The 21,704-nt window shown below is 43.7% G+C and overlaps 1 protein-coding gene across 11 annotated transcripts in view; it reads right to left on the reverse strand.

The window, feature by feature from the left end:
• Positions 1–21,704, reverse strand: part of TTLL11 (tubulin tyrosine ligase like 11) — a 277,635-nt gene that overhangs the window by 145,921 nt on the left and 110,010 nt on the right. For 7 of the 11 annotated variants that reach the window (XR_001746188.2, XR_929721.4, XR_929720.4 and 4 more), the window contains 2 exons: positions 13,290–13,385; positions 12,415–12,530 (listed from right to left, as the gene is read on the reverse strand). Coding sequence is in view for 4 of the 11 variants with exons in the window: in XM_047422825.1 (XP_047278781.1) it covers positions 12,415–12,530; positions 13,290–13,385 (212 nt within the window). In the remaining 7 variants the exon portion in view is untranslated. Of the gene's footprint in view, positions 1–2,013; positions 2,139–12,414; positions 12,531–13,289; positions 13,386–21,704 lie in introns of those variants that run through there. The other 4 variants (NR_171569.1, NR_171570.1, NM_001386833.1 and 1 more) reach the window with 1 other exon arrangement.

Raw genomic sequence — 21,704 nt, forward strand, 5'->3', positions numbered from 1 at the left:
TCTCTACCCTACGACACCATTCTCATTGCACACAGAGCTTTAAGCATAGATGCTAGAAATAAACTGAACATTCTCCAATAGGGAGGTAAACTCTGGTCCAGTCATTGATGAAAATGATGTTCAAGAAGAGTTATAAATGAGAAAGGGGCAATAACTGCCTTATAAAAGGGAGAAAAATAGGCCAGGTGCCATGGCTCACACCTGTAATCCCAGCACTTTGGGAGGCTGAGGCGGGTGAATTGCCTGAGGTCAGGAGTTCAAGACCAGCCTGGCCAACATGGTGAAACCCCGTCTCTACTAAAAATACAAAAATTAGCCAGGCGTGGTGGTGGGTGCCTGTGATACCAGCTACTCGGGAGGCTGAGGCAGGAGAACCACTTGAACCTGGGAGGCAGAGGTTGCAGTGAGCTGAGATCGTGCCACTGCACTCCAGCTTGGGCAACAGAGTGAGACTCCATCCCATAAAAAAGGAGAAAAATAAAAACAGCATACCAAAATTACACAGACAGTATGGCTTCAACTATAAATGACAGGAGAAGATTATACTATTTTTATTAAGTAAAAAGTTAATCAGGTTAGCTCTGGGTGGCTGACTTTGAGGGAGATGTCATGCTATGCACTTTTCAGTACTTCCCAATTTTTCCACAATAAGCACACATTACTTTCATAATGAGGAAAACATTTTAATACGAAATGGGCAGCAGGGAAGCAGCATCTGTCTTCTCCACCCCAAAACGCCCCTTTGGAACTATGATGGGTGGTCCTGACCCACCACTTGTGCCTCCCCAGCTCCACCCAACCCTGTCACCTGCTTCCTGCCTCCATACTTCCTCTCCCAAGCCTACTTATATATTCTTACTTATCCAAGCCCAAGCTAGTGCAAGCCCCACCTTCTTTATGTTCTTCAAGAAGCTTGTCTTGACCATTCCCAGCCAACTATTAGGTTAAACCATATGACATTGCCATTCTTGTATTCCAGAAGTTGTCTACTATCAGTGATTTCATATGACTCAATCTAGTCCTTGGCTCACCAGGTCTTCTTATGAAACTTCAGCCTGTTCTCCAGTCTGGAACACATAACTGCAAATGGGGAATTTTCTGTCTTGGACTCTCTCTTGTCTCATGTGAGATCCTGCTTTAAGTCACTCTTCTTTGTACATTGGCTTACTTTATATTCATTCTGGTTGTGAACATTATTGAAAATAAAGTCACCGCCTCACTGACCATAGACCTTCCTTACCCATAAGCACCTGCTTGGGTTCTGCGCTTGGCCCTGGAGATAGAGACATGAGACCCTGCCCCAAAGTTTACAGACAGAGAACAGGCCTTGGATAGGCATGAACCCAACCAGGGAATGCTAACGCCTTGCAGGCACCCATCTCTTTCATGTGCTAAATATCTGCACGTCTGTTCTCTTGCAGGGCGAGAGCTAGACAGACCTGGCTTTAAATCTCAGTCTGTCTCTCATAAGCAGGTGGACTTGGCCATGCCACTCAACCTCTCCAAGCCTCGATGTCCTCATCTATAAAATAGAGGTAGTCATAGCCCCTACTGCAGATCCTACGTGAGGACTAGCTGGGACTATATGTGAACATTTACTACCATGCTATACACGGTCAGCACCCAAGAAACACTCCCCTGTGAACCAGGCAGAGCAGAAACTATTATTCCCCTTTTTTTCTAATGAAGAAACTGAACTCCAGAAAGTCTAAGTGACTTTTCTGAGACCAAGGTGGAGCTGATACTAAAACCTTGGTCTCCTAAGCCCAGCATGTGCTGTGTTCTGGGCTAACAACTGCTGATTCTAAAAGCACACGAACATTTAAGGTTCACTGGTGCAACTCCTAAGGAAATTTCCAAACACATTTGCTACCTCATCACTACCTGGAATAACTTTGGAAGGGCCCACAAAGAATTCAGCACTGCCATTTCCCCGTAATGGTGACTGACTGGCCATATGCTCATCTAGTTTCCCATCTACTCCACCCACGGCAAGAGGGAGAGCATGCCTACCTGCCGGCAGAGGGGCTCGGCTCCTGTCTGATGGCCCTGTGGAATGACACTCTCACATCAGCTCAGGAAATTCTTCCCCATACATCTTGGAAATGGTTCCCTCTCAACAGACTTCCCACAAATAAGGCTTTTGCTGATTACTTCTGACTTAATGCTTAAACGTTTTCAACGGAAGAGAGTTGTCTGGTTTTACTTCTTGCACATAAAATAATGCACTTATCATTAGTCATCTCCTTCCTGCTCACACTTGAAAATGTATGCACATTTTTCTCATTTGCTATCATCTGAAACCTGAGACCTTTCAAGGTATGGGGAACGCAATGTATCTTGAAGTCAGGAACCTCAGACAAGTTGTGGCTTTTTATAGCCTCCAACGATAATAGGATGACAGTTCGGTTCTTCACTTTTTGAAAATATGATGAAATTTCTGGCTTTTGCTCCAGAAAAAAAATACACATATACACAAAATCACAGATACCTTTCAAGACTTCATGCATTCCAGATAGAAAAACAACTCCATAACAAACCTGCTCATGGACCCCCGACCCTGAAATAAAAGTTGGAAAAAAAAAAAAGGTTTCGAATACTGTGCCAGGGACTAAGAATAAAGACTGTGACACATTCATTAGAGGAGAGGAAAAAAAATCACACACAAAAACAAGCTCAAATTTCTTTTCCTTTTTTTTGTTTTTTGTTTTTTGTTTTTTGGAGACTGAGTCTCCCTCTGTTGCCTAGGCTGGAGAGCAATGGTGTGATCTCAGCTCACTGCAACCTCTGACTCCTGGGTTCAAGCGATTCTCCTGCCTTAGCCTCCTGAGTAGCTGGGATTACAGGGATGTGCCACCATGCCTGGCTAATTTTTATATTTTTAGTAGAGATGGGGTTTTACCAAGTTGGCCAGGCTGGTCTTGAACTTCTGACTTCATGTGATCCACCGCCTAGGCATCCCAAAGTGCTGGGATTACAGGTGTGAGCCACCGTGCCTGGCCTCAAATTTCTTGACATTCAAGGCCATAAACCTCCGGCTTTGGGTTTCCATCTAGCTCCCACCTTCCTCTCTCCTAATACACTCCATGCACCCATCCCTCCTGCCTACCTGAACTCCTCGAGGCTCCCCCAACAGAGCCTTGTGCCTTTGTTTTCTTCACTAGGGACCTCCTTCCCCTCATTTTCATATTTCAAATCCTACTCACGCTTTAAACCTCAGGTCAAGTGCCACCTCCTTGTCAGTTTTTAAAAGTTCTTCCCATCAGGAAATAACCTCTCCCCACACCTGCCTCTCTTGGCAATTTGTCTTTATGCTTGCAGTACTTAGCACATTCCACCTTACAGATATTGATGCGTGGGTCTTGCCACCCCTACTGGCTGGCGATCTAATTCACTTCTGCAGTCTTCCCCTGACACACAGTAAGTGCTCAATAAACACTCGAGATAAATAAATATCTGTTTCTCTAATCCACACATGGTACAAATGAAATTCAAATAAGTATGCAAATATTCATTTCTCTGTGACCCAGACTTTTTTATTTATGTAAAATCTTCAAAGGTGCTTGGGGTCAATGTGTGCTGGTCTGCAGGGTCAGGGTTCCTGATTGAACTCTCATGTATTAGTCTGTTTTCACACTGCTATAAAGAACTACTTGAGACTGGGTAATTTATGATGAAGAGGTTTAACTGACTTAGAGTTCTGCAGGCTTAACAGCAAGCATGACTGGGAGGCCTCAGGAAACTTACAATCATGGCGGAAGGCAAAGGGGAAGCAAGGACCTTCTTCACAAGGTGGCAGGAAAGAGAGAGAAGCGGGAGCTGCCACACAGTTTTAAACCATCACATCTCATGAGAATTCACTCGTTATCACGAGAACAGCATGGGGGAAACTGCCCCCATGATCCAATCCCCTCCCACCAGGTCTTGTGGGGATTACAATCCGAGATGAGATTTGGGTAGGGACACAGAGCCAAACCATATCACCTCAGGAATCAATTGAGCCCAGAATTTCAACTGGAGGTCAGCAGTGCACACATGAATGGGCCATTCAGCAGGATAGCGGATGATTCTTCAGGAAGAATCTATTCTCCAGTCAGAAAGATCATGTTCTGTGCTTACGACAGCATGCTTAGTTTAGATAGTTAAGAACTCCTCTTCGTTATTTTTGAGGGGACTTCAATAAGAGGTGCCACCAATTTAAGGGGCAGGGTTCTGGGTCTGGAGAATTTCTGATTAATATTTCTCTAATCTTCTCCAGGATTGGACAAAGCTACATTCCTTGGTTGTACGACAAGGCCCAGCCACAAAACAGAGTCCACTGGGAGATTCCTTGTTTTCTGTTCTCTGAGAATGTTTCAACTTTATTCTAGATTCTACATAGAATCTACCGGATTTGGGGATTCATCTATTGGCACCAAACATGGCACAGGGCCCAAGAGATGTGCTTGGAGACAAGGTAAGAAGTAAAGCCTGAGTGCCCAATAAAACCTTTAGTGGACAAACACTTCCGAATTAGGACCACAGCTGCTTGGCAGGCTGACTCCTCTCTTTACAGCAAACCTGGTTGTTAGGGTGATAGGAAGTAATGAAATGGGGAGAGGATTGTGAAATGTTACATGGAAAAAGGGGCTTCTGGGCCATATATAAGTCATGTTCCAAATATATACCTCTGAATAAGAGGAAAGCAGTCCATAACCCAGCTCCCAGGCATTGCGTGGCATCATGATATCAATAAAACCCCCTCCGATTTCTCCAAGCCTGTCTCTGTCTTCATTTATATTACACTGGGGTCCTGAATGGCTATGATTCTTGAGAAAGGAGTCCAGTTCCCTGAAATATCTATGTTCAGGAGAAGGAGCCCAATACTAGTAAAATGGGTCCCCTCGAGCCCAAAATTAATCAATTGATGGAACAAGCATCTTGCTTTAAAAATAATTGAGATTGCAATTTATTTACTTCTGCCTCTGACAGAAGTTTTAAAAAGAAAGACTTAGGCTGCCCTAATACCTTGAGTGAAAGAGGAAATTTTCCGTTGATTATTCTTATTTTTTTCCCATACCTTCAAAGTTAAGCTTTGAATGTGAAATGGAAACTGGAGACCAACACAGCCTCATGGCCAGGCAAACATTGGTGTAGGAGTCAGGCCCAGGACCCAGGTTCCAGTCTATCTCTTACTAGCTTTGGGACTTGGGGCAAGTTTCTTACCTCCCTCCAGCATAGCTTCCCCATGTATGATTCAGTGGGGCAGAACCATTATGTCCACAACTCAAACAGCTTGCCTCAACAGCTGGTGACTTATTTGTCACCATGAGCATGATTTTAAAGGAAAGCCTGATTGACCACTTGGTGACCCTAAGAACTAGCTGTTGTCTAATGCTCTCAGATTCCATGGGCCTTTCTCACACGTGTCATTTCATATCATGACCATGACAATCCAGCCAAGGAGGTACCTGGATTTCCATTTTACAGACATGATTAGGCCAAAGTGACTTTACCACCAAGCCCAGGGTGCCATGATCAGAGATTGAGAACATTATCCCAGGCCTGGCTGATACCAAGTCTATTGTCTTGCCAGGACACAGGCCGCTCCTCTGTCAGTGATGCTTCAGCGGGAGATTTTTTTTTTTTTTTTTTTTTTTTTTTTTTTTTGAGAGGAGTCTTGCTCTGTCGCCCAGGCTGGAGTGCAGTGGCTCCATCTTGGCTCATTGCAACCTCCGCCTCCCGGGTTCAAGCGATTCTCTTGCCTCAGCCTCCCGAGTAGCTGGGATTACAGGTGCCCACCACCAGGCCCAGCTAATTTTTGTATTTTTAGTAAAGATGGGGTTTCACCATGTTGGCCAGGCTGGTCTCGAACTGCTGACCTTGTGATCCACCCGCTTCGGCCTCCCAAGGTTCTGGGATTACAGGCGTGAGCCACCGCGCCCAGCCTCAGAGGGAGGTTCTTGAACCAGGGAACTGACCAGCATGATGAGTTCTAAGGTCTGGGCTTTTAGCAATAAATGAGGAGTCTGGATAAAAACAGGAGTTCTAAAAACTTCTCGTAGCAAAAAAGATCCCCTCGCTTCAAAGGAAATCTAATGTAGAATGCCAACATATGAAATAGATCCTTGTAGCATCCCTCTGGTTGAAAAAGAGACGGCATCCACCCAAATGTCCATCAACTGACAAATGAATACTAAATGTGGTCTATCCATCTCTTGGAATATTATTCAGCTGTAAAAAGGAATGAAGTACTGACACAAGCCACAACAAGGGTGAACTTCGAAAATATTATACTAAGTGAAAGAAGCCAATCACAAAAGACTGCATAGGGTATGATTCTATTCAGATGAAATATCCAGGATAGCTAAATCTGCAGAGACAGAAAGCAGACTGTTGGTTGCCGGGAAGTGGGGGGAGGGGGAATGGAGAGTGATTGCTTGATGGTTTCCTTTTGGAGTGGCAAAACGCTGTGGAGCTAGTGGTGACGGTTGCACGACTTTGTGAATGTACTAAATGCCACGGAATTGTGCGCTTTTAAATGGTTCATTGTATCACATGTGAATTTTACCTCCATTTATATAACGTTTCCAGAATCCTACCCCATAAGCTTCCTGCTTCGCATGTCCCTACAGAGCCTCCACGGAACCTTGGTAAGAAAATCAATTGAGTCACTAGATATTACAAAATGCTACCTTAGCCAAAATAGTTCACATATGACAGATGTTTTCCTCCTTCAGGAGCCAAAGGTAATTTCTCCTAACACATGAAATAAATATCAGCCAGTGACATCTTGCTACCTGGAAACAGAACCTTGCATTGGTAACCAGCTCCAATGTCGATTCTAGTCCACAGTCATCAAGCAGCTTCATTTTTAGGATACATCATTGATTTTAAACTAAAAAATCTGCTTTAAGTATACCAGGAAAGAGAATAATAACTAAGCATTGTTTTTTCTTTCATGTCCAGTAGATACTTTCTTTCTTTTTTATTTTCTTTTTTGAGACAGAGTCTCGCTCTGTTGCCAGGCCGGAGTGCAGTGGTGTGATCTTGGCTCACTGCAACCTCTGCCTCCCGGGTTCAAGCGATTCTTCTGCCTCAGCCTCCCGAGTAGCTGGGACTACAGACATGCACCACCATGCCTGGCTAATTTTTTTTTGTATTTTTAGTAGAGACAGGGTTTCACCATATTGGCCAGGCTGGTCTCAAACTCCTGACCTTGTGATCTGCTGTTGAGTGGTAAACTCAGCATTATCAAGCACTTACCATACATTAAAAGTTTTTCTCACTTATTTTTATTTTTATTTATTTTTTGAGACACAGTCTCACTCTGTCACCCAGGCTGGAGGGTAGTGGCACGATCTCGGCTCACTGCAACCTCCACCTCCCAGGTTCAAGCGATTCTCCTGCCTCAGCCTCTCAAGTAGCTGGGATTATAGGCATGCACCACCATGCCCAGCTAATTTTTGTATTTTTAGTAGAGATGGGGTTTCACCATGTTGGCCAGGCTGGTCTTGAACTCCTGACCTCAAGTAATCCGCCCACCTTGGCCTCCCAAAGTGCTGGGATTACAGGTGTGAGCCACCGTGCCCGGCCTCTCATTGTTTATTTGAACATCATTATCCCCATTTTATAGAAAAGATTATGAGGCTCAAAACAGCTATGCAACATCTCCAAGGACTCACCACCAGTTGGTGACAGAGTCAGGATTGGAATCTCAGGTTTTTCAGCTCCAGAGAAGGCACCCTCGAATATGCCAAGGTGGGTGTCAGCAGAGTCAAGTTCTTCCCCCGGTAGACTGCCTGAGGACTGCTTTCAGTCCCACCAAGAAACTGACCCTAGGCTACAAGACCCAGAGTTCAGGGAGATGCATGATGCATGCACACGGGTCTGGGGCTCCTTCTGAGGACTCCTCTGCACCTGTCCAGGGCAGTCTGGGGAGATGAGGAGTTTGGGGGATCTACTTTTTATCTTTAGTCTGTGTGAGGAAGTGAAGACCCGCCTCAGCAGTCTTGCTGACAAACTGTTCTCAAGAAATAACTAATGATGGACAGAAACTTCAGATCCTCTTTTGCTAAAGAGTTGAAGGGAAAGGCTGGGATTCCATTTGTTTTTTTCAAAAAATAGGTCAGATTCTGTGCAAACGCTAGAAACCCTGGCTTCTAAAGGTAACTTCTAGCCTGGAAGTCTACATAACATCATTTTATGCAGTTGGAGTGACATAGTCTCAGATTTGGACACAGGATTCAGCACTACAACACTGTGCAGCATAAATCAGGTAATTTTTCAACTTATTCTGAAACATTTCTACGCAAAGGAGTTGAGAATAATTTCAGCCTTTTCCTCTGCATGGTAAGTTTATCAAAATGATCATAATCCCTTACATATAAACACACTTTATGGATTACAAAGTACTTTCATGGATAATCCTTGCTGAGTTAAAAACAAAAGGTGAAATTAAGAAAAAATATCAGTAAATGGCGTTAGCTATTATCATATATCTTTACATTGTAGGTAAGAAGAGGATGAGATGAAAGGGTTTTATATTAGAATAAAAGTCAAGTTCCAACTTCTAACTGTTCCTGGTTATCAATAAAAAAGTCAATGCTTTTTAAATTAAAAATGAGGTGCTGCTATTTATGACTTGATAAGTTGTAAAATGCCTTTCCTATCCTTCCCAATGGTCCTATGCCCCATTATTAAATTTTAGGCCTGCAGCTCATATAGATGACATAGAATGCAGCTCCTATGGATTAACTGGCGTAGGTAAAGAAAAGCAACTAGAACAAGAAAAATAAAACTAAATGTGTTTCAATGTCATTTAATGAAAATACAGTAGAACGCTTCTACCCCTTCATGTTTAGGTGGCACAGCTTAAAAAGACTCAGGCCATACAAGGGCTCTTGAACTTCTTGCTCCCAATAAAGGAATAAGAATGCTGATGTGTCTCAAAAAGTGGGCGAATGATATGAACAGACACTTCTCAAAAGAAGACATTTACGCATCCAACAAAGATATGAAAAAAAGCTCATCATCACTGGTCATTAGAGAAATGCAAATCAAAACCCCAATGAGATACCATCTCACGCCAGTTAGAATGGCGATCATTAAAAAGTCAGGAAACAACAGATGCTGGAGAGAATGTGGAGAAATAGGAACACTTTTACACTGTTGGTGGGAGTGTAAATTAGTTCAACTATTGTGGAAGACAGTGTGGCGATTCCTCAAGGATCTAGAACCAGAAATACCATTTGGCCCAGCAATCCCATTACTGGGTATATACCCAAAGGATTGTAAATCTTTCTACTATAAAGACACATGCACACGTATGTTTATTGCAGCACTAGTCACAATAGCAAAGACTTGGAACCAAAGCAAATGCCCATCAATGATAGACTGGATAAAGAAAATGTGGCCGGCCAGCCGCCCCATCCGGGAGGGAGGTGGGGGGGTCAGCCCCCCGCCCGGTCAGCCGCCCCGTCCGGGAGGGAGGTGGGGGGGTCAGCCCCCCGCCCGGCCAGCCGCCCCGTCCGGGAGGGAGGTGGGGGGGTCAGCCCCCCGCCCGGCCAGCCGCCCCGTCCGGGAGGGAGGTAGGGGGGTCAGCCCCCCGCCCGGCCAGCCGCCCCGTCCCGGAGGGAGGTGGGGGGGTCAGCCCCCCGCCCGGCCAGCCGCCCCGTCCGGGAGGGAGGTGGGGGGGGGGTCAGCCCCCCTGCCCGGCCAGCCGCCCCGTCCAGGAGATGAGGGGCGCCTCTGCCCGGCCGCCCCTACTGGGAAGTGAGGAGCCCCTCTGCCCGGCCAGCCGCCCCGTCCGGGAGGGAGGTGGGGGGGTCAGCCCCCCGCCCGGCCAGCCGCCCCGTCCGGGAGGGAGGTGGGGGGGGTCAGCCCCCCCGCCCGGCCAGCCGCCCCGTCCGGGAGGTGAGGGGCGCCTCTGCCCGGCCGCCCCTACTGGGAAGTGAGGAGCCCCTCTGCCCGGCCACCACCCCGTCTGGGAGGTGTGCCCAACAGCTCATTGAGAACGGGCCAGGATGACAATGGCGGCTTTGTGGAATAGAAAGGTGGGAAAGGTGGGGAAAAGATTGAGAAATCGGATGGTTGCCGTGTCTGTGTAGAAAGAAGTAGACATGGGAGACTTTTCATTTTGTTCTGCACTAAGAAAAATTCCTCTGCCTTGGGAAAAAAAAAAAAAAAGAAAATGTGGCATATATACACCATGGAATACTATGCAGCCATAAAAAAGAATGAGTTCATGTCCTTTGCAGGGACCTGAATGAAGCTGGAAACCGTCATTCTTAGCAAACTAACACAAAAACAGAAAACCAAACACTGCACGTTCCTACTCATAAGTGGGAGTTGAACAATGAGAACACATGAGCACAGGGAGGGGAACATCACACACTGGGGCCTGTCGGTGGGTGGGGACTAGGGGAGGGATAGCATTAGGAGAAATACCTAATGTAGATGACATGTTGATGGGTGCAGCAAATCACCATGGCACGTGTATACCTATGTAACAAACCTATATGTTCTGCACATGTATCCCAGAACTTAAAGTATGAAAAAGAAAAAAAAAAAAAAAGAATGCTGATGTGTCAAAGTCATCCTAAGAAAACTGTACTGCCATGCCATACTGGCATAAAAGGCTACCCAAATCTCCTTACAGTACCATACGATTTCTCAGAACCTAATATCTGCTGCTGAGACCAATAACTATTAGAGAATAGATTTTTGAGGAATGAGTTTTATTGCAGTAATTCTGACCAAATAGCAATTAATCCATTGCTTTTCCCTTGGGATGGCTAAAGAAGGCAGCTGCAGACACATACGTACTGGTGAACACATTATTTGGCTGCCATCGGGTCTGAGCTGCTCAGAGGACAGCTTTGAAGCACTGATCGGTGGAAGAAGCCACACCTGGTGGGATTGGCCCATGCAAACTACAGGTAAACATTCTCAGCCGAGTCTTGCCAACAATGGCAATCTGTGCCTCACACAGTCAAGAACACTCTTGACAAGAACTCAGCCGGGCCGGCGCCATCCAGCCTGACTCAGACTATGACCAATACTTCTTCAGGGTAATATTTCCTGCAGGGCAGTGGCACTCAGCCTTGGCTGCACAGCAGAATCACCTAGGGAACCTAGAAACTTTCTGTGGCCAGGCCTTCCACCCAGGCCAATTAAAATCAGCACCTCTAGAAGTGGAAACTCTAGTATTGGTTTTCTGAAAGCTGCCCAGAGGGTTCTAACGTGCAGCCAAGCGTAAGAAGCACTACCATAGGGTGATATTTGGGCTTGAGCCCAGGTGGTGAGAAGCCTTGGTAGAGGAACCTGCAAACCACCACTTGCTTGGGGAAGTCTGCATTCCTCCCAGTCTTGAACAATTACTGACAAGTGCTTTATTTGTCTGCGCTCATTAGGGTCAATCTGATTCGTCTAGGGATATGAGAAGTGCTATTTGAGATGCCTTTGATTTTTCTTCCTGAAACATTGACACAATGATATGTACTCAACACCTACTTTGTGAGAGCCTGGAATTTGGTAAAAACAAAACAACATACTCAAGTGAAATATTCATTTCTGGGGTGATTTCATGGAGGGAGGGCGAAGCACATATATCCACCAACAGCGCAATGTAATGTACCACTGAGTGGGTGGGGACGAAGCAGAATTACAAGTGTTGTAAATATCATAGAACTGTCATTAAATTGGCCCTGCCAATTTTGAAACTAAAAGTTTATACTGCAAGAGTGTAAACATGAAGAAAATAAAAAGGAAGCAACTCTTACCATGTCCTAGTTACCTATGGCCCTCTTCTCCTGCATTTTATTGTACTTTTCCTGTGCTTGAGGATTTCAAAGAGAAGCACTATGTGTGCAATGGTGGGCAAGTGGGAGGCCTGGCCTTGAGGGAGACAGCTTCTTAGAAGAGATATTCCGTATGGAATTCTGGGTTGAAAATTCTTTTCTTTAAGAATGTTGAATATGGACACAGGAAGGGGAACATCACACACTGGGGCCTGTTGTGGGGTCAGGGGAGGGGGGAAGGACAGCATTAGGAGATATACCTAATGTTAAATGACGAGTTAATGGGTGCAGCACACCAACATGGCACATGTATACATATGTAACAAACCTGCACGTTGTGCACATGTACCCTAAAACTTAAAGTATAATAATAATAAAAAAAAGGAAGAGACATTCCAGATTTGATAACACTCAGAAATTCATCAACGGAAGCCTATTTGTCAGATTACTCCGGATTTGAGTCACTGATTGCTTGGGGGCTGATATTTATAAAACAAAGATATTTTATTAGAATTGTTTAAGATGTAAATCTCACTCACAATGGTAACAGGTTCCAAGAACTTACCTGCTTAGGATACGAAGCCGGGTTAGGAGGCAGAGTTGATAGAAATGAATGACATAAAAAAGTACTTACTGATTCTCTCTTTTCTTCTTAAGTGGGTCCATGAGGCGCAGAGTGTCTCTGATCACAGCCACTTTCACTTCTTCATCAACGAGGCTGGGGACATTTTCAAACACCCCTGGAGAAAGCTTGAACGGGTAAGGATTCTGTGTCACAGTGGAGACCGTGATTCCGTGCCAAGTGGCTATCCAGCTAGCTCCAGGGGTTATACTAGTAAATTTTGCTTATGCTAATCTATAGAAGAAAATTTTTAAAGACTTCCTTTATACTACCTTAAGAATGTCGATTTCCTTTTATAAATTAACCAAATACATGAAGAGGAAAAATAGCACTATGTTTTTCTAATTATCAAAATGATACATGCTCACTGCAAAAAATTAAGAAATATAGAAAGGGGTTAAGAAAACTAAAATAATCCATATAATCCTCTCTAAACCCAATATTGATATCTGCTGTATTTCCTTCCAGTTTTTTTAAATGCATTTTTTGGGGGAGGGGGAGAAAAATATAACCACTGCTAAATGTATTATTTATCTTAGTGATTCAAGTATGTCAACATGACTAAATCATACTCATAGAATTTCAATTAGTTCATCTCCTGAGGCTAATTAGTTCATGTCAAAACTGATGGGAAGGCTCAGCTGCTTCTAAGTTTCCAAACCTTCAACACTGGAAAAACAGCATGCTGGGAAGTGACCACAGGTCAGATAGGCTTTGTATTAATAGTCTATGTTGAGAACTCAACAAAACTGAAATTATTTGACTTGAACAGAATTTGGCTATGAAAATCTGAGAATGTCCAATCTTGTTTTGTTAAGTGAGCAACATGAGGGTAGGAATATTCAGCTGTATGGCAACATAGTCAATGAGATGCTCAAAATACTTACTTCGTGCTCATGTTCGATTCTCATACTGGGATTTGCATTTACTTCAAGTAGTATAGGCTTCAGATTTTTCATTAGAAGAATGTCAAAGCCTAAAATCTGGGCAGGATAAACACAATTCAGAATTACTGTCTCTATTGAGTATGGTATTAGGGTCATTAAGTTGAAAATAAATTCAAACTCAGTCCCCAACCTTGGCCTTGACCCTGGCTTCTCTTGTCCACAGCCCCTCTTCCTCTGGGGGTACTTGTCAGACCAAATGGACAGCAGAAAATTTTACAGGAACCTTGATAATGGGATGAGTTCCCACAGTGCGTTTCAGCACTGTCTTTGTCGTCTGAAGGGCTGTTGATGACCTCTTTCTTCTTTAACAGGTTTTTTATTATGTTGAGGATGAGTAGTAGCCCATCAATTTCTCCCTCTGCCTTTTCTTCTGCTCTCGTTTACTAAGTGGCTTCTTAGCTAGCTCTCTGAGAACCTAAGGCTGCTTTTGCAAACCTGAGGTATACATCAGTGTCATATAAGGACCCCGTTCAAAACCACCACATCAGCTGGGCTTGGTGGCTCATTCCTGTAATCCCAGCACTTTGGGAGGCCGAGGCAGGCAGATCACCTGAGGTCAGGAGTTTGAGACCAGCCTGGCCAATGTGGCAAAACATCGTTTCTACTAAAAATACAAAAATTAGCTGGGTGTCGTGGCGCGAATCTGTAATCCCAGCTACATGGAAGGCTGAAGCAGGATAATTGCTTGAACCCAGGAGGTGGAGGTTGCAGTGAGCCAAGATGGTGCCACTGCACTCCAGCCTAGGTGACAGAATGAGACTGTGTCTCAAAAAACAAACAAACAAACAAAAAAACCCACCACATCCCTACAGAGTCAGAAGTGCTTAGAGCGGAACCCAGGTGAATGTATTTTAAATAAAGCAAATTCCCCAGGTGATTCAGATACACCCTCTTAGTTAAGAAGACAGGAATATTGATTAGGCACCTACTAGGCACCCATTACTATACAATGCACTGATTATTCATAGTCTCACTGAATCCTCATGACAGCGTATTTGAAGAAGGGATTATGTGCTCCACTTTACAGAAGCAGAAACTGAAACTCAGGAAGGCCAATGGATTTCCCAGAAACCGCCTAGCTAGTTAATCAATGACAGAGCTGGCTTTCACACCCAAGCAGGACTGACTACACAACATAAAAATGCAGGGCCCTTTGTTCAAAAAGGATGAACAGTTTCACATAGTTAAACCAAGCTCAGAGCCCTTCTAAGCGCAGGGCCCTGTGTGACACCCCTGCACAGGTGGAGTTCTCCAACACCGTCTGCTTCACGCCTGCTCTTAAATCCAGCATTCTGCCTTGGGTGAAGCTTTGTCTTCCAGTCACTCGGGTTTCTTTCTATTCCTTACAGCTCCTACAACTGGGGCCAGCCACTCATGAGCATCTCGTTCTCTCTGCCTAGAACAACTCTTCATCTGGATAACTTTTGCTCATCCTTGAGATCGCTGCCCCTAATGAGATTCTGATTCAGACGACAAGGACTTTCGATTTTCCAGAGGACTCTCATTATGGCTACAGAAGTGATAATGCAGAAAATTTCTAACATAATTAATAGAACCCCAAAGTCTCAAAAAATTAATGTGGAGAATAAAGAGAAAAAAGAAAAAGATAGGGTTGTAGACTCCCCTTCTCTGTGGATTCAAGGAGGAAAGATGAGGGAAATCCATTTACTAGTCTATATAGAATATGCATTAGTTAAATGATAATTATTAAACTGTAGCTCCATCCTTATTAATGAAATTAGAGCCTGAATGACCATTTTTGGGGGCTGATTCAAGATGAAGTTATTTTTCAATGAAGGGCAATAAGGATGAAAAGTTGGGAAAAGTCATCCTCACTCTATTTTTCTTTCCTTGGTCATGAAAAGAAAGAAATGGAAATTCAGTAGAAAATGTTGCATGGATTATAGATCTGCTTAATAATACATGACAAGTGGATGTGAGTGATGAGGCCTTTTAGAGACTCTGGTGACATCATCAGTCTAACTCCAGACCTGGTCTGAGACATGTGATGTTGATGAGGCTACAGAGAGCAGCAGGCTGTGGTGATGACGTTTATCATCCTTAGTCATCAACTCTTACTTTTTGGTATATTTTGTACTTTCTCAGCCTGGTGGACTCTTCCCAGTTCAATGCCCAGTGGTTTCATGAATGTGAAGGTGGGAATGCTGGGAGCTGGAGCAGGGGTGTTAAAGCCTCATCAGCCCTGTCTACACCCACCAGTGGCATGAAATTTTCCAGAACCTAAACTTGAGTGCATGTTTTTGAATATGCTGGGTCTTGTATAGGAATGCTTTGGAGTTAGAAAGACCTGGGCTCCAATCCCAGCTCAGTCCCTTACACTAGCTACATGACTCTAGGTAAGGTACTTAGCCACTCTGAGCCTCAATGATCTCATCTGAAAAATGAGGATAACAATAGCTATCTGTCAGGGTTGTTGATAATGGCAGTGAAAAGCAATACCTAGGCCTATGCTCATCATATAGAAGGTACTCAATATATGCTATCTCTTTCCAGTTTCCTGCCAATTCCACCAAAAAGAAATGGCATTAGTGTGCTTTGTAGTCAAGAGGGGCTCATTTCATATCTTAGTTCTGCCTTTAACTTGTGTGACTACAGGCAAGTTACTTAGCAGCTCTAAGCCCAAATTTCCTCATCTATAAAATGGAACTATGAATGTTACTTACTTACCTTAGTTCATCCATTCAGAAAATATTTATTTTTAATTTAATTTAATTTTTTTTTTTTTTTGAGACAGAGTTTCTCTCTTGTTGCCCAGGCTGGAGTGCAGTGGCACCATCTCGGCTCACTGCAACCTCCGCCTCCCAGGCTCAAGTGATTCTGCTGCCTCAGCCTCCCAAGCAGCTGGGATTACAGACACGTGCCCCCATGCCCAGCTAATTTTTGTATTTTTAGTAGAGACGGGGTTTCACCATCTTGGCCAGGCTAGTCTCCAACTCCTGACCTCAGGTGATCCGCCTGCCTTGTCCTCCCAAAGTTCTGGGATTACAGACGTGAGCCACCGCGTCCGGCCCAGAAAATATTTATTTAATGCTTTCTATGTCCCAAGAACTATTCTAGCTGCTGGAAATACAACAGTGAACTAAACAAGTCTTAGACTCCAGTAGGGGAGAAAAGATCAAATAAAGATAATGCAATATAACATTTTTTGCACAGTGCTTGATACATAGAAAGTGCTTAATGAGAGCCAGCTTTATGACATTTTTTCACAAGTTCAAGGAAATATGCATGATTTTCTTTTCAAAAGTCCAATAAAATATGTAGCATCAATGGATCTTAATAAACAGAATCACAGAACTGGGAGATATGTAGAGTTATCTTGTCATAAAATCACAGAATGTCCCAGCTGGCAGAAAATCAGGTATTTACTTGGTCCAGTGGTTTTCAAACCGGGGTTCTTTTCTGGGGTCCCAAGGGAGAGGCCAACCAGATCAGATCAAATTTGACCTTTTACCTATGTGATAAACTGGGGTTCCCAAGGAAAAAGCTTTATTTATTTATTTATTTATTTATTTATTTATTTATTTATTTATTGAAAATTCACTTTGTGCAGACAAGGAATGTGCAGCTTAGCATGGGGAAAGCCTCTTTCCAAGTCCCTCTAACGGAGCAGGAATTGTAAATGGAGAGCTTTTCAACCATGTGATATTCTGCCTCCCCAAGTAATTAAATCAGCAATTATGTGTTGATCACCTTCTACTTGAGGGGCTCCCTGGGGGGTTTAAAGATATCTGTCCTTCATTCCCGACCTCTAGAAGCTTCAAATCAAGTTGGGGAGATTCCTGAGCCATTAATTATAAATTTATGCAAAGGTTCCAAACTACATCCTAACAGCAGTGGTTCGTTCCTGAGCCCCACGCCTACCCTTCCATCTGCATCCACAGTATCCCCAACTGGGAGGTCCTAGAGTCCACAAATTCAGCGTATCCAAACTCACTCTGTGGTCAACTGTTTCTAAGATGGTCCCAATGATCCCTAACTCCTGGTATTCATTCCTTTTGTGGAATGCCCCCTCGCACACACTGGGGTGTGACCTCACCTAGTAACTTGTTTCTAACAGATAGAATAGGGCAGAAATGATGAAATGTCACCTCTAATATTGGGTTATAAAAAGACCGTGGCTTCTATCTTGGGGGGCTTTCTCTCACTCTCTTGCTCACTCACTCGGAGGGAGGCCACCTGCCATATTGTCATGAGCTGTCCCATGGAGAGGCCCAGGTGGCAAGGAACTGATTTCTCCAGCCAACAGTTAGAGGGTACCTGAGACCTGCCAACAGCCATGGGAGTGGGCTTGGAGGAGGAGCTTTCCCCAGTCAAGTTCTGAGATGACTGCAGTCCTGGCCAACATGTGGGCTGCAGCCTTGAGAGAGACTTTGAGCCAGAAGCAGTCAGTTAAGCCTAAATTCCTGATCCATGTATACTGCGAGATAGTGGGTATTTGTTGTTTTAAGCTGTTAAGGTTTGGGGTAATTTGCTACACAGCAATAGATAACAAATACACCATATTTTTCTAAAATCTCCTTTGTTTTCTGTATTCCTTATCCACCCAATCACACAAGTCAAAACTTTCCCTTCATCCCTTACAACCAGGTGGCCACTAACACCTGCACACTCTACTGCCTAAAAAGCTTTCTAGACCTGGCCCATCCCCTCTGCTTCTACTCTCCACAAGTCTGTGCCACCTCTCACTTTTCCTCTGCTCTCAAACTTGCTCCTCTAATTCATCTGACACAAGGGGCTGCCAGAGCCATTTTTCTAAAGTGCAAATAGACTATTAACAATCCTTTGCCCAAAATCCGTGTCTACAAAATGAAGCCCAAGTCCCACAGCATGTCCTACAAATTGCTCTATGGCCTGACATCTGTCAACACTCCAGCTTTATCTCCTCCCACTTACTATTACTACACATCTTGGGCTCTCATTGTGCTGAAACATTAGTAGTTCAAGGATGCTTTAGTGCTCTCTGCCTTCATACTTTTCTGCCTGAAGGCATTACTTACTTTGTGAATTATTTACTGGGCACTACTAGATACCAGGCACTGTTCTTGGCACTGAGCATAAAGCAGTGATAAAACAAAACTCCTACCCCCTTGTAGCTTATGTTTTAGATGGGAGAGATACCACAAGCAAGTCAATAATGAAAGCAAGGTAAGAACACAGAGTGTGATACAGTGGGTGGAGGAGAGCATTTGGTGATCTACCTAGGAGGGCCAGGGGGGCCTTTCTTTTTTCATTTTTTTTCACAGCAAAATAAGTTTTTTATTGAAAAAGATAAATTCAGAGAATGAGATTTGGATTCCAGTTCTAATACAAACACTGGACAGGTATACTTGAGTGAAACACCTTACCATTGCAGTAACCCATCTCCAGACTATAAAATAAGGAAATATCCTCGTGCCTTACCTCTTTCATAGTAAGGACTGAAACAAGTAAACCAAGGGAAAGCACTTTGTGAACTGTAGGAAAAGCACCAAAAGCTCTGATTATAGTAATGTCAGTTCCTATTAGCTCTCCACTAACCTAGATCCAGCAGCTCTGCAGTTGAACCAGCTACCTTCCCACCCACCTCACATGCAGCCCTCCAGATAGATTCTGTGGTTTTCTAGTTGACCATACTTGTAAGAACCTCAGATTCCTCCTGTCCACCAGTATGAGTCTTGTCTAGTTCTACCATTTGACCCAACCATCCCATTACTGGGTATATACCTAAAGGATGATAAATCATGCTGCTATAAAGACACATGCACATGTATGTTTATTGTGGCACTATTCACAATAGCAAAGACTTGGAACCAACACAAATGTCCATCAATGATAGACTGGATTAAGAAAATGTGGCACATATACGCCATGGAATACTATGCAGCCATAAAAAAGGGAGGCCTTTCTAAAGAGGAGACACTTGTCATTCTATTGTCTCTGGCCAGAACAGTTTCTGATGAGAACATTGTGGTTATTCTTTGTTCTTCTGAACATAGTGTATCTTTTCTTTCTGACTGCTTTTAAGATTTTCTGATCATCACTGGTTTTCCAATAGTGTGATTATAATCTGGGGGGAGTGTGTGTGTCTGTGCATGTGTGTGTATTTTACTTGGAATGTCTTGAGCTTCTTAGATTGTGGGTTTATAGTTTTTTTTCAAATTTGGAAAATTTTGGCCATTATTTCTTCAAAAGTTTTTTTTTTTTTAAATATTCCCTCTCTCTTCTGCCCTGGGACTTCAATTACACATATGTTAGACCACCTGATATTGGACCATAGTCCACTGAGGGTCTGTTCTTTTTTTTCCTTGTCATTTTTCTCTACTTAATTTTGGACACATTCTATTGCTACGTCTTCAAGTTCACTGATGATTTCTTCTTCAGTGTCTAATTTGCTGTTAATCACATCCAGTGATATTTTCATCTCAGAGATTATATTTTCTGTTATAGAAGTTTCATTTGGCTCTTTTCACTAGTTTCCATTTCTCTCTTCACTAAGCTCATATGTTCCTTAAAATTTGTGTATATAGTTATAATAGCTGTTTTAGTATCCTTTTCCTGCTAGTTTCATCATTTCTGATATTTTTGGATCTGTTTCTCTGAAATGATTTCCCCATTGGTAAAGGTTACCTTTTCCTATTTTGTGGAATGTTTAGAGATTTTTTATAATTGAATGCTGGACGTTGCGATATTTCAATGCTGAGTGTCTGGACTTTGTCTTTCTTTTAAAGTGCTGGGCTTTGTTTTGGCAGTCAGTTATTTGCAAATCAGCCTGATGCCTTCAAAGCCTTTTGCTTAAGGTGAATAGCATGGGTCTAGAGTAACCTTCATCCCAGGGAGAATTTAACCCTCGCTGTTAAGGCAGAACTTCTTTGGAGACTCCATTGCATGCTCCCAGCCATCACCAAAGACTCTTCACTCTGTTCGGGGCTCAAATGCCTCCGTGCCCTGTGTGAGCCCTGGAAATGGTTTAGCTTATCAGTCCCCCAGTTATTCTTTGTCCAGCTTTGTGGATTAACCCTCCATATATGCATGGCCTAGGACTCAGCAGAGACCCACTGAGATCTCACTCAGCTTTCTGGAGCTCTTTTCCTGCTTAGCTCCTTCCTTTCTGTAATTCTGCCCCACAAATTCCAGCTACCTTAGCCTTCCCAAACTTCAATCTTCAACTCCTCAACTCAATGAGGTCACTGGATGCTGTTTAGGTTTACCTCCTCTGTGTCCATATTCCAAAAATTGCCCCCAGATGAAAAGCTGAGGCAACCATAAGACTCACCTTGTTTTTTCCCCTTTTTCTCAGAGATCACAGTGCTGAGCTATCTGTGGTCCAAAGTCTGAAAATGTTTCTTTCATGTACACACTCATATATATTTCTGGTAGTCTAGTTGTTTGCAGAAGGAGGTTATTGTTACTCCCTCATCACCAGAAGCAAAAGTCTCAGGGAGGTGACATATGGACAGGGGCTAAATAAAGTGAGAGAATAAGTCATTTTTGGGCTGGGCATGGTGGCTCACACCTGTAATCCCAGCACTTTGGGAGGCCGAGGCGGGTGGATCACCTGAGGTCAGGAGTTCAAGACCAGCCTCACCAACATGGTGAAACCCTGTCTCTACTAAAAATATTTTTTAAAAATTCTCTGGGCGTGGTGGCGGGTAGCTGTAATCCAGCTACTTGGGAGGCTGGGGCAGGAGAATCGCTTGAACCCAGGAGGCAGAGGTTGCAGTGAGTGAGTGCCATTGCACTCCAGCCTGGGTCAACAAGAGTGAAACTCCAACTCAAAAAAAAAAAAAAAAAAAGAATAAGTCATGTTTGAATAGCTGGGGAAGAGCATTCCAGGGAGAGGGAACAGCAAGAACAAAGGCCTCTTCCAAAGAATAGCAAAGAGTGAGCGAAACGGAGAGTGGCGGAAGATGAGGTCAGATAGACAAGGGGCAGATGGCGCTGCATCTTGTAGACCATGAGAAGGAGCCAGGATTGTAAGTGCAATGAAAAAGCCATTGGAGGGTTTCAGTGAGGAAAGTAACTGGATCCACCTTGTGTTTTAAAGCATCTCCTTGGCTACAGTGAGAAAAATAGGCTATAGGCAGTAAGGGTGGCTATGGCAGCCATTCAAGTGCGAGGTGATGGCTGCCTAGACTGGGATGGCAACAGTGGAGTTGGTTAGAAGCGGTTACATTTGGGAATATTTTAAAGGATATTTGCAAGAGTTGCTTATGGATTGGATGTATGAAGGAGGGAAACAGAAAAAAGAAGGATGTCTCAGGCTGTTGGTCTGAGTGACTGACTGAATGCCATTTGTTTACTGAAACAGTAAAGACGATAGAGAGTAGGTTTGGGAAGGAAGTCAAGAGCTTGACT

This window comes from Homo sapiens, chromosome 9, assembly GCF_000001405.40.
Source record: "Homo sapiens chromosome 9, GRCh38.p14 Primary Assembly".
In the NCBI taxonomy this organism is placed as follows: Eukaryota; Metazoa; Chordata; class Mammalia; order Primates; family Hominidae; genus Homo; species Homo sapiens.